Source organism: Homo sapiens, chromosome 3 (genome assembly GCF_000001405.40).
Source record: "Homo sapiens chromosome 3, GRCh38.p14 Primary Assembly".
NCBI classification, from domain to species: Eukaryota; Metazoa; Chordata; class Mammalia; order Primates; family Hominidae; genus Homo; species Homo sapiens.
Window position 1 is genome coordinate 120,564,154 of NC_000003.12, and position 13,692 is coordinate 120,577,845.

The 13,692-nt window shown below is 41.9% G+C and overlaps 2 annotated features.

The window, feature by feature from the left end:
- Positions 490-693: a silencer, noted in NCBI's record as "fragment chr3:120283490-120283693 (GRCh37/hg19 assembly coordinates)". NCBI's record gives its function as "represses an EF-1alpha promoter that drives an FKBP-Casp9 reporter gene in an ReSE screen in K562 erythroleukemia cells {active_cell/tissue: K562}" and the evidence as "EXISTENCE:reporter gene assay evidence [ECO:0000049][PMID:32094911]".
- Positions 7,965-8,185: a transcriptional cis regulatory region, noted in NCBI's record as "candidate enhancer chr3.3352 targeted for multiplex CRISPR interference". NCBI's record gives its function as "positively regulates NDUFB4 gene expression with high confidence in K562 cells {active_cell/tissue: K562}" and the evidence as "EXISTENCE:mutant phenotype evidence [ECO:0000015][PMID:30612741]".

The following is a 13,692-nucleotide window of genomic DNA, read 5'->3' on the forward strand; positions in this document are numbered from 1 at the left end:
GCTCTAACTATGTCTTACAAAATTACCTTAATTATAGATTCGGCCAAGAGATGGGAACTCAGTAACAACTGGCTAAATACCAATTGTTTTAAATAAATAATATGAGTTCAGCAGTGAAAATAATTGGATTTGGGAGTTGGGCAGATCTGGGCTTAAAACCTGGTTACTTCCTTCAGTTATGCCTTTAGTAAGTGTGTATTGATCACCTACAATGTACGAGGCACTCTTTTAGGCATTGACAATAAAAGCACAAATGGGAGAGACAGTCTGTATCTTCAGAGAGCTTACAGTCCCACAGCTACACTAAATACCTGTTATCTTTAAAAGGTTACTAAACCTGCTGGGTGCTGTGGCTCACACCTGTAATCCCAGGACTTTGGGAGGCTAAAGTGAGAGCGGATCACCTAAGGTCAGGAGTTTGAGACCAGCCTGGCCAACGTGGTGAAACCCCGTCTCTACTAAAAATACAAAAATTAGCCGGGCATGGTGGTGAGCACCTGTAATCCCAGCTACTCAGGAGGCTGAGGCTGTAGAACGCTTGAGCCCAGGAGGCGGGGGTTGCAGTGAGCCAAGATCGTGCCACTGCACTCCAGTTTGGGTGACAGAGTGAGACTCCGTCTCAAAAAAGAAAAAAAAGAAAGGTTACTAAACCTTTCTGTGTTTACATCTGTAAAATGAAAACAAAAACAAAAACAAATTTGAAGGTTGTTGTAAGGATTAAATTGAATACCATAAACAAAATGCTTTGAATATTGCATTCAAATAGTATTGCTTCCCTTCTCCTTATATATACCCCCTTGGTATCGTTTTATCATTTGTTACAACGTACTACTACCTTTAATTGAACATTCCTAGCTTAAAGGGAGACCAAATGTGTCAGGGGTTTGAAATGGAAACCCCAAAGCAACTCCATTAGGGAACAGTATGTGTTGTAGTTGAGAACACGGGGGTTGACATCAGAGAGACCCCAATTAGAAACCAACCCTGTTACTTGCTGATTTGGGGCAAGTTATTAACCTCTCTGAGCCTCAGTTTCGTCCTCTGTGAAGGCTAATAACCCTATTCTCCCAGAGTTGTTGGGAGGTTTAGTGAGATGCTATAGGTAAAACACTTAGCTCATTGTCTGGTACATAATAGGTGCTTGGCAAAGATTGTTACTCTTATTTGTTTGTCTTACTTTTAGAGTATCAACTTTTAGGGCTGGCACTGGTCTTGAATAGCATTATGGCCGATTCCTCATTTTACAGATGAGGAAACTGAGTTTCAAAGCAGGTTGGCCAAATCATAAGAACTGGAATCTCTGATTCCTGCCCCAGTTTTCTTTGTCTCTACTTCATGTTCAGGGGTGGAGTTGACTAGAATATTTGTTTTAAGGAACATTAAGCTCACACATGTAGGATGTGGTAGGAAGCCTTCTTCCTTTCCCAATCCTCAGTTTCTTCTTGTACGGTGATGGAGTTGTCTAAATGATTCTACTCAAGGTTCTGAGACACAATGTCTTTCTGAAGAGTAGCTAGGAAACACAGGTAACCATGGACAACTTCATCTGCCCTTGCTAATTTCAAGCTCTTGATCTTCCAAAGATTAGGTGCAAACAGATGGAAGATTCTCACCCATGCCTTCCCCTACAAGGCAACCATGGCTGACCTTCCAGGTGGCTGCTCTTTCAATGGAAGTGATTTTCAAACTGCAGATCATAACTTATTAGTGAGTCTTGAAATAAATTTAGTGAGTCAGTATTTCAAAAATGGAAATAGAAGTGATTTTAAAATATCAAAGTACGCCACAAGTTATAATAATAAGTATTACTTTGTGAAATCTTTGTTATATATGTCATATTTGTGTGTGTGAATTTATGTACTGTGATGTCACAATTTTAAAAATATTTTTTACCATGGGCTGTAGTCCAAAAAGATTGAAAACTACTGCTTTAAGACATAATTTGTGTTGCCTGCAATTAAAAAAAAATTCTCACTTTTAAATTGCACATTATTCATTACTCAACAAATGTTTATTGAGTGCCTACCAAATGCCAGGCACTGTTCTAGGCACTAGGAATACAGCAGTGAACAAAAGAAACAAAAATTCCTGCACTCATGGAGCTTACCTTCTGGTGGGGAAAACACAAGCAATACATAGGTAAGGTACAAAATGTAGGAAACACAGGAGAAAGGCAAGAAGGAAGGATGAGAGGAATGAAGAAAGAAGGAAGGAAGGAGGGAGGGAGGGAGGAAGAAAAAAAGAAAGAAAGAAAGAGAAAGAAAAAGAAAGAAAGAGAGAGAGAGAAAGAAAGAAAGAGAAAGAAAGAAGGGAAGAAAGGAAGAAAGAAGGGAAGAAAGGAAGAAAGCAAAGGACATTCATAAACATTTAACCCAGTAAAAACACTGTTGGCATTTTGGTGTATGTCCTTACAGACTTTTCATCATATGCACATGCCATTTATCTTGCCATTTAGAGGACTTCCAGGTAATAGTCCTCACATAAATGTGCAGGATGCTGCTGACCAAAGTCCTGTCCTCTGAAGCATGAAAGGAGAGGCTCTGCTTTCCTCTCTGCCTGCTTCCCTCCTCCCGCTCCTTTCTCTTCTGTATTAATTGCACTACTAGGCCCTTGGCCTTGGACACAGAGACTTCTGCTGCATGTTAATTAGGCACAGCACCAGCTGACCCTGCTCACTGGGAAGTTCTATGTCAGAGTTCTGTTGCATACTGACCTTTAATAGCCTTAATGATTTAATCATTTTATAGATTGAAAACACTGAGGTCCAGAGACGTTGTGACTTGTCTGAGTTCTCACAAACGATAAACGGAGGCAAGAGTCTGAAATGCTTCGTGCTCCAGCGCCTGAGAGCTCTGGTTTGGCCCCTTCATCTGCCGTGCATTTCACCTTCCTTTCTTATTGTGCCAATATAGTAAAAATAATTTTTTTTCTAACACTAAGCTATTATTTTAAGTTTCTGTTTTCTAACAGGTACAAACTGGTTAGACTCGTCCTGGCTTAAGTGACCGTTAATTTAGTAAATCTCCTTGGATTTTGTGACTGTTACGCTAAAAGCCTTAAAAATAAATGTAGTAAGAAGCTGCCCTTGGGTCCAGCAGAGAAGAAGATAAAATTGGATCCTTTTCAAAGCCAGTGTTTACACTCAGATGCCTCTGGCTTTCTCATTTACTTTAATAAGCTATTTCACGAGGTAACTTTATCTTTACAGATACTTTTTTTTTTCTGAAGGAGAGATGGTTTTTAGCAGAGAGCAAGGAACTTAAAATCAAGAGGTTTGCGCTCTAGTCCCAATTCTGCTCAGTAACCCTAGACCAGTCACCTGCCCTCTGTGAGCCTAAGACTGGATGAGGGGTTTCTAAGCTGTGGTCAGTGGGGCCTCAGGATTTCCATGACGTATTTCTGGGCTACTGCTGGAGACCTACAGTGAAGGCTCAGAGGCTGCCGTCCCAGAACCACACTGCCCCCTTGTCTCCCTCCCTCCCCTACTCAGAGCAGCTCTCCTTTTATTTGTTTTAAAGGGGAGAGTCTGCATAAGATTTTATTTAAAAGAAAAGTTCTGCTGTTGTTAGTATATAAAAATCACCAGAACAGTTAGATGATCTGAAAGATCTTTTCCAGCTCTAACATTCTGGGGTGTCTGAGTTTAAAGATCGGCTCTTGCTTTACTTTTTTAGCTACCTCTTTGCTCCACGGACATGCAAACCAATCATCTCTAAATTATAAATATTCTCTCTGCTGCCCCCAGCTGACTGCTAGCTATGTATTATGCTGGCTGTAAAGATCCTGGAAATGAGCTTGTCTGCTACTCCTGCCCTAATAGTGTTGTGACCAGCAGGGAAGAACATTTGTAGCAGTACTTATTTGCTGATCAGGGATTTTATTTTTTTTTTAAGCTTGCATTTGCTTTAACCGCTTAGGAAAAACAGTTCCAGAACTATCCCCAGCCCTGACCAGCACAGCAGCATCCTCATTCGTATGCTGCTGCTTTGTCTGGCAAAAGGCATTCTACCATGCCATTCCTAACCGCTCCCCACTGTGGTAAGCAGCTATTCGGATTGGATCCCACATCCTCTCTTGGATATTTTGTTTTTCAGGCTGTCTGTCTTACTGCATGCTCCCAAAGTTTCCTCTGAAAGCTAGTGATCTTTGGCTGCCACTGCAGTCCGGCCAGGCCTGAGCCAGGCTGTGCCTGCCCAGCCCTACCTAGAGCACCACAGACCTTTCTGGTGCTGATTTATTTCACACGCACTGTGCCTGCTTTGCCCAGAGTAGAGCAAGACCAATTTTTCCTTTACAAATACATGATTTAAACTTTCATCAAAAATTAACTGGTGCTAAAAGCAGACAAAGACAAATCAGCATTTTCTACTCACTACATGTCAGTAAGGTTCAAGAATTTGCTGCTAGATGTGTAAATCAGGATATAGGATGGGAGAAGCAAACACTGATCACACTCTGAGTGTTCCTTACCTCCCTTCATCCTTATAATAACCCTCCTAGGTAGATATTCTCATCTCCATTTGTTAGAGGAAGAAACAGGCTGGGGGAGGTAGAATAACTTGTGTAGACACACAGTTAGGAAGTGGCAGATGCAGGAATTGAACTTGTTCTATCTGGCACCAAATGCCTTGTTCTTTCCACGACACCATGCTGCCTTCTTGATGAGCATGCTGACTCATTTGGGAAGTTATGTAAGCTTGCAAATCACATTGAGATTCCCAGATAATGTGACTGCATAAAGAAGAACAAGGTGCTGCCACGAGTGGCTTTGGTGCAGTGACAGAAACACAGGGGAGAGGCTCTGCACTGTCGAGAAGGGGTCAGCAAAGCTGTTGAGAGGAGATGGGCTGCACCAGTGGGCCCCAAACCACAGGCAATCATTTATCTCTTCCCTTCCCAACCTGTTCTGCAAATAAACAGATTTTAATTATAAATATATGAATAAAGCTATCTATCCATTTAATTCACGTTACTGAAAATCCAGTCCAAGCTTTGACCACCTGCAGAAGGTATGCCAAAGGTGCCCAGGGTCAGATGGCTTGGCACCACTCCAGTCACCTGCATCAGGTGAAATAAGCAAGGTAGGTCTTTAGCATCATCCACATATGCTTTTATTGACTAGAGGAGTGTCATAATCAGATTTGCACCTCGGGAAGTTATCCCAGGCCTCTGTCGGGAAAGGGAGAAGGGAGGCAATGCAGCGGTGCTGTCAGTGCCCCGCCCACGTCCAATTAGTATGCACCCCACACCCCCAAGGCCTGTGACCCTCTGTGCTCTGGCTTGGCAGCATGCATAGCCCATACACAGTGCAGGAGTGCAGGCCAGATGTGCTGGGGGGTTGATGTCCCTGAGATCAGCCCTCAAACAATGAGGAACAGGAGAGTTGATGGGTAAACACCCCAGCTTCCTTGCCTGTTGGTTGGGATAACTCTTAAGTCGTATTCTACTCTGTGTCTCAGAGTTTCTCAGTGAGGTGGAGCTCCAGTGGAGTTTCTCAGTGGCATGGAGCTCGGCAGTGCTTAGTAACACATCCTTTATTGGCTTCTTTCACTTCCCTGTCCTGCTCCCTGAATCAGCTCCCAGGGATTCCTGAGATCACCTCTCAAATGAACTATTTATAGTAGAATCCATGTTTCAGGTTTCGTTTCCAGAGGAAGCCAGATAAAGACCATTCAGAAGCCGGTGTGGTGGCTCATTCCTGTAATCCCAGCACTTTAGAAGGCTGAGGTGGGTGGATCACTTGAGGCCACGAGTTGAAAACCAGCCCGGCCAACATGATAAAAGCCTCATTTAAAAAAGAAAAAAAAACACCATTCAGTACTTTGTGCCGAGATGGATAATGTGCACTAGACAAAGGGAACAGAAGTAGGAATGGAGAAGAGGGGGTTGCTATGAGAAATATTCACTCTGAGATTTAGAACTTCAAAATAAGAAACTCCTACATTTAATAGCAGTAATTAAAAAAAAACTAACCCCTAATTTTAAAAATAGGCTAAGGACTGGAATAGACATTTCTCCAAAGAAGACATACAAATAGCCAGCAGGTATAAGAAAATGTTCAACATCACCAATCATCAGAAAAACGCAAATCAAAACCGTAATGAGATACCACCTCACACCTGCTAGGATGGTTGTTATATATATAAAGATAACAAGTGGTGGTGAGGATGTGGAGGAAATTGGAACCCTCATATGCTGTTGGTAGGAATGCAAAATGGTGCAGCCACTATGGAAAACAGTGTGAAGTTCCTAAGAAAATTAAAAATAGAACTACCATATGATCCAGCAATCCCACTTCTGGATATTTATCCAAAAGAATTGAAATTAGGATCCCAAAATGATATTAGTATACCCATGTTCACTGCAGCACTATTCACAATAGCCAAGATGTGAAAACAACTTAAATGTCCATCAACAGATTAATGGATAAAAAGAAAATGTGGTACATACATACAACGGAATATTATTCAGCCTTAAAAAGGAAATTTGGCAATGTGTAACAATACAGATGAACCTTAAGGACATTACACTAAGTGAAATAAGCCAGTCACTGAAAGGCAAATATTGCATGACTCCACTTATATGAAATATCTAAGATGAAGTATCTATGATTCAAATTAATAGAATCATAGAATGGTGGTAGCCAGGGCTGGGAAGAAGAGGAAATGGGGAATCACTAACAATGAGCATTGTGTCTCAGTCAAGCAAAATAAATAAGCTCTGGGGAGCTGTTGTACAACCTTGTACCTATAGTCAACAATAATGTATTGTACACTTAATATTTTGTTAAGAAGGTAGATCTCGTGTTAAATGTTATCACGATTTTAAAAAACTGGTTAAATGGAGGGGTAAGAGAGAAAGGAGGGAGAGAAAAGACTCTACAAGAATTCTGAGTCTCTGGCTTAAGCTCCTGGGTGGATACTGATGCCTTACACTGAACTAGAGAATACATTTCAGGGGTAAGAAAGTAAATCCAATTTTGGATATGTAGGAGAAAGTGACATCTGGCTCTGTGATGTCATTTGCAAAAATGAAAGTGCCCCCTTTGCCAAAAGCATCTTCCCAAACCTCTTACCATAGGGCTTGAAATTCTCTATTACTCACTTATTTGGCTTGCTTTTTCCAGAACACTATTTTTAAAATGCTCCTGAGATTATTGATACTTTTGTTACGTGTGATAATAGCATTGTGGTTATGTAGAAAAAAACCTCCTTAACTGTTAGAAATACATGCCAAAGTATTTAATGGATAATATAAAACACTGTGAGGGACTGCTTTCAAATAATCCAGCAAAAAGAAAAATGAAGGGTATATCTAGGGGGATGGATAAAACAACATGGAAAAATATTTAAAATGATAAAAGCTGGAGAATGAATACAGTGGGTCCATTATACCATTTCCTCTACTTTTGTGTGTGGGAAGTTTCCATAACAAAAAAAAAAAGAAGTTACCCTGGTATTTTTAAGATGCTCTTGGCAGGATATCTTATCCAATTGTCTTTAACACCTGTGAAAGAACAACCACAAAAGTGTGTTTTGAAACTTTGGTTGGATTTCATATATTTAGAATATTTAGAAGAAAAGGAGGCTGGTTCTTTCAAAAAATAGACTTGTGAGGAGCTGGATTTTAAAAGAGAGAAGAAACCAAGATTCAGATGTAGAATTTCATATGTTTTTGCCAACCATGTGATTCCTTCCACCATTTTCCAGAGCATAAGAAGGCATCTCATGACCCTCCATCATGCCTTACCACGATGGTCCCACATCAGGGCCTTTGTGTGCATGCTGTCATTTTATCTCCAAAACGCTCTCTAGGCACCCATTTCAAAGATGAAGGAACTCAGGCTGGAGAGGTCAGGTTTTCTGCCTATAGACCATAGAGTAATCAATTCCAGGGGCATTGGGAGAAGGGCCCAGGTTTGACGTTCCATGTATCTGACTCCAAAGTCTGGTATATTCCACAGCCTTCAGTCTAGTTTGCTGTGGTTGACCTTAGGTCACCTTGCCATTCCAAGAAGTGGTCATTCACAAACTGGCTTCAGCAGAATTGACTTTCTGGGAATCAGCCTGCTTCTGCTGAGGACAAGCTTAAACCAACAAAAATCAACAGCATGCCTCCTTGGGCAGGGACAATAGGGTGATAGAGTTCATAGACTAAGTGAGAACTGTCAGGAAAGCATTGTGTCCGTTTCCTCCAAAGCCTTGAGGCATTGGCAGGGTTTGACAGGAAGGGTGGAGGTGGGCACAACACCTAGAAGAGCAACTGGGTGAAAAGCAAAGATAAATGGAACTGTAAAAAAGCATATAATTCCATAAGCAAACATAAAATGCTTTAAAAAGTGGTGTTTCCTTATCTAAGTACTTACTGATGCTTTTTAGAAAACCAATCTTAAGGCTGGGGCCGGCGGCTCATGCCTGTAATCCCAGCGCTTTGGGAGGTCAAGGCGGGTGGATCACCTGAGGTGAGGAGTTCAAGACAAGCCTGACCAACATGGCAAAACCCCGTCTCTACTAAAAATATAAAAATTAGACGGGTGTGGTGACGGGTGCCTGTAATCCCAGCTACTTGGGAGGCTGAGGCAGGAGAGTCACTTGAACCCAGGAGGCAGAGGTTGCAGTGACCCAAGATTGCACCACTGGACTCCAGCCTGGGTGACAGAGGGAGATGCTGTCTCAAAAAAAAAAAAAAAACCAACCTTAAAGTCAAGCAAAGGAGATAACTAAGTAAATTATAATTATTTCCTACTGTTGGAGTATTACATGTCCATAGTTTATGGATGTTATTATCCATAATAAAGATTATGGAAAACTGTTTATTTAAAAAATTTAACTGAAAAAGCAGAATATAGAATACATATAGGATAAGGGCAGTCAAGATGGCCGAATAGGAACAGCTCCGGTCCATAGCTCCCAGCATGAGCGACGCAGAAGACGGGTGATTTCTGCATTTCCATCTGAGGTACCGTGTTCATCTCACAAGGGAGTGCCAGACAGTGGGCGCGGGACAGTGGGTGCAGCACACCGTGCACAAGCCGAAGCAGGGTGAGGCATTGCCTCACTTGGGAAGCACAAGGGGTCAGGGAGTTCCCTTTCCTAGTCAAAGAAAGGGGTGACAGACGGCACCTGGAAAATCGGGTCACTCCCACCCGAATACTGTGCTTTTCCAACGGGCTTAAAAAACGGCACACCAGGAGATTATATCCCGCACATGGCTCGGAGGGTCCTACGCCCACAGAGTCTCACTGATTGCTGGCACAGCAGTCTGAGATCAAACTGCAAGGTGGCAGCGAGGCTGGGGAAGGGGCGGCCGCCATTGCCCAGGCTTGCTTAGGTAAACAAAGCAGCCGGGAAGCTCCAACTGGGTGGAGCCCACCACAGCTCAAGGAGGCCTGCCTGCCTCTGTAGGCTCCACCTCTGGGGGCAGGGCACAGACAAACAAAAAGACAGCAGTAACCTCCTCAGACTTAAATGTCCCTGTCTGACAGCTTTGAAGAAAGCAGTGGTTCTCCCAGCACACAGCTGGAGATCTGAGAATGGGCAGACTGCCTCCTCAAGTGGGTCCCTGACCCCTGACCCCCGAGCAGTGTAACTGGGAGGGACCCCCCAGTAGGGGCAGACTGACACCTCACACGGCTGGGTACTCCTCTGAGACAAAACTTCCAGAGGAACGATCAGACAGCAGCATTCGCGGTTCATGAAAATCCGCTGTTCTGCAGCCACCGCTGCTGTTACCCAGGCAACCAGGGTCTGGAGTGGACCTCTAGCAAACTCCAACAGAGCTGCAGCTGAGGGTCCTGTGTGTTAGAAGGAAAACTAACAAACAGAAAGGACATCCACACCAAAAACCCATCTGTACATCACCATCATCAAAGACCAAAAGTAGATAAAAACCACAAAGATGGGGAAAAAACAGAGCAGAAAAACTGGAAACTCTAAAAAGCAGAGTGCCTCTCCTCCTCCAAAGGAATGCAACTCCTCACCAGCAACGGAACACAGCTGGATGGAGAATGACTTTGACAAGTTGAGAGAAGAAGGCTTCAGATGATCAAACTACTCTGAGCTACAGGAGGAAATTCAAACCAAAGGCAAAGAAGTTAAAAACTTTGAAAAAAATTTAGACCAATGTATAACGAGAATAACCAATACAGAGAAGTGCTTAAAGGAGCTGATGGAGCTGAAAGCCAAGGCTCGAGAACTACGTGAAGAATGCAGAAGCCTCAGGAGCCGACGCGATCAACTGGAAGAAAGGGTATCAGTGATGGAAGCTGAAATGAATGAAATGAAGCGAGAAGGGAAGTTTAGAGAAAAAAGAATAAAAAGAAATGAACAAAGCCTACAAGAAATATGGGATTATGTGAAAAGACCAAATCTACGTCTGATTGGTGTACCTGAAAGTGATGGGGAGAATGGAAACAAGTTGGAAAACACTCTGCAGGATATTATCCAGGAGAACTTCCCCAATCTAGCAAGGCAGGCCAACATTCAGATTCAGGAAATACAGAGAACGCCACAAAGATACTCCTCGAGAAGAGCAACTCCAAGACACATAATTGTCAGATTCACCAAAGTTGAAATGAAGGAAAAAATGTTAAGGGCAGCCAGAGAGAAAGGTCAGGTTACCCACAAAGGGAAGCCCATCAGACTAACAGTGGATCTCTCAGCAGAAACTCTACAAGCCAGAAGAGAGTGGGGGCCAATATTCAACATTCTTATAGAAAAGAGTTTTCAACCCAGAATTTCATATCCAACCAAACTAAGCTTCATAAGTGAAGGAGAAATAAAATCCTTTACAGAGAAGCAAATGCTGAGAGATTTTGTCACCACCAGGCCTGCCCTAAAAGAGCTCCTGAAGGAGGCACTAAACATGGAAGGGAGCAACCGGTACCAGCCACAGCAAAATCATGCCAAATTGTAAAGACCGTCGAGGCTAGGAAGAAATTGCATCAACTAACGAGCAAAATAACCAGCTAACATCATAATGACAGGATCAAATTCACACATAACAATATTAACTTTAAATGTAAATGGACTAAATGCTCCAATTAAAAGACACAGACTGGCAAATTGGATAAAGAGTCAAGACCCATCAGTGTGCTGTATTCAGGAAACCCATCTCACGTGCAGAGACACACATAGGCTCAAAATAAAAGGATGGAGGAAGATCTACCAAGCCAATGGAAAACAAAAAAAGGCAGGGGTTGCAATCCTAGTCTCTGATAAAACAGACTTTAAACCAACAAAGATCAAAAGAGACAAAGAAGGCCATTACATAATGGTAAAGGGATCAATTCAACAAGAGGAGCTAACTATCCTAAATATTTATGCACCCAATACAGGAGCACCCAGATTCATAAAGCAAGTCCTGAGTGACCTACAAAGAGACTTAGACTCCCACACATTAATAATGGGAGACTTTAACACCCCACTGTCAACATTAGACAGATCAACGAGACAGAAAGTCAACAAGGATACCCAGGAATTGAACTCAGCTCTGCACCAAGCAGACCTAACAGACATCTACAGAACTCTCCACCCCAAATCAACAGAATATACATTTTTTTCAGCACCACACCACACCTATTCCAAAATTGACCACATAGTTGGAAGTAAAGCTCTCCTCAGCAAATGTAAAAGAACAGAAATTATAACAAACTATCTCTCAGACCACAGTGCAATCAAACTAGAACTCAGGATTAAGAATCTCACTCAAAGCCGCTCAACTACATGGAAACTGAACAACCTGCTCCTGAATGACTACTGGGTACATAACGAAATGAAGGCAGAAATAAAGATGTTCTTTGAAACCAACGAAAACAAAGACACAACATACCAGAATCTCTGGGACACATTCAAAGCAGTGTGTAGAGGGAAATTTATAGCACTAAATGCCCACAAGAGAAAGCAGGAAAGATCCAAAATTGACACCCTAACATCACAATTAAAAGAACTAGAAAAGCAAGAGCAAACACATTCAAAAGCTAGCAGAAGGCAAGAAACAACTAAACTCAGAGCAGAACTGAAGGAAATAGAGACACAAAAAACCCTTCAAAAAATCAATGAATCCAGGAGCTGGTTTTTTGAAAGGATCAACAAAATTGATAGACCGCTAGCAAGACTAATAAAGAAAAAAAGAGAGAAGAATCAAATAGACACAATAAAAAATGATAAAGGGGATATCACCACCGATCCCACAGAAATACAAACTACCATCAGAGAATACTACAAACACCTCTACGCAAATAAACTAGAAAATCTAGAAGAAATGGATACATTCCTCGACACATACACTCTCCCAAGACTAAACCAGGAAGAAGTTGAATCTCTGAATAGACCAATAACAGGCTCTGAAATTGTGGCAATAATCAATAGTTTACCAACCAAAAAGAGTCCAGGACCAGATGGATTCACAGCCGAATTCTACCAGAGGTACAAGGAGGAACTGGTACCATTCCTTCTGAAACTATTCCAATCAATAGAAAAAGAGGGAATCCTCCCTAACTCATTTTATGAGGCCAGCATCATTCTGATACCAAAGCCGGGCAGAGACACAACCAAAAAAGAGAATTTTAGACCAATATCCTTGATGAACATTGATGCAAAAATCCTCAATAAAATACTGGCAAACCGAATCCAGCAGCACATCAAAAAGCTTATCCACCATGATCAAGTGGGCTTCATCCCTGGGATGCAAGGCTGGTTCAATATACGCAAATCAATAAATGTAATCCAGCATATAAACAGAGCCAAAGACAAAAACCACATGATTATCTCAATAGATGCAGAAAAAGCCTTTGACAAAATTCAACAACCCTTCATGCTAAAAACTCTCAATAAATTAGGTATTGATGGGACGTATTTCAAAATAATAAGAGCTATCTATGACAAACCCACAGCCAATATCATACTGAATGGGCAAAAACTGGAAGCATTCCCTTTGAAAACTGGCACAAGACAGGGATGCCCTCTCTTACCACTCCTATTCAACATAGTGTTGGAAGTTCTGGCCAGGGCAATCAGGCAGGAGAAGGAAATAAAGGGTATTCAATTAGGAAAAGAGGAAGTCAAATTGTCCCTGTTTGCAGACGACATGATTGTTTATCTAGAAAACCCCATCGTCTCAGCCCAAAATCTCCTTAAGCTGATAAGCAACTTCAGCAAAGTCTCAGGATACAAAATCAATGTACAAAAATCACAAGCATTCTTATACACCAACAACAGACAAACAGAGAGCCAAATCATGGGTGAACTCCCATTCACAATTGCTTCAAAGAGAATAAAATACCTAGGAATCCAACTTACAAGGGATGTGAAGGACCTCTTCAAGGAGAACTACAAACCACTGCTCAAGGAAATAAAAGAGGACACAAACAAATGGAAGAACATTCCATGCTCATGGGTAGGAAGAATCAATATCGTGAAAATGGCCATACTGCCCAAGGTAATTTACAGATTCAATGCCATCCCCATCAAGCTACCAATGACTTTCTTCACAGAATTGGAAAAAACTACTTTAAAGTTCATATGGAACCAAAAAAGAGCCCGCATTGCCAAGTCAATCCTAAGCCAAAAGAACAAAGCTGGAGGCATCACACTACCTGACTTCAAACTATACTACAAGGCTACAGTAACCAAAACAGCATGGTACTGGTACCAAAACAGAGATATAGATCAATGGAACAGAACAGAGCCCTCA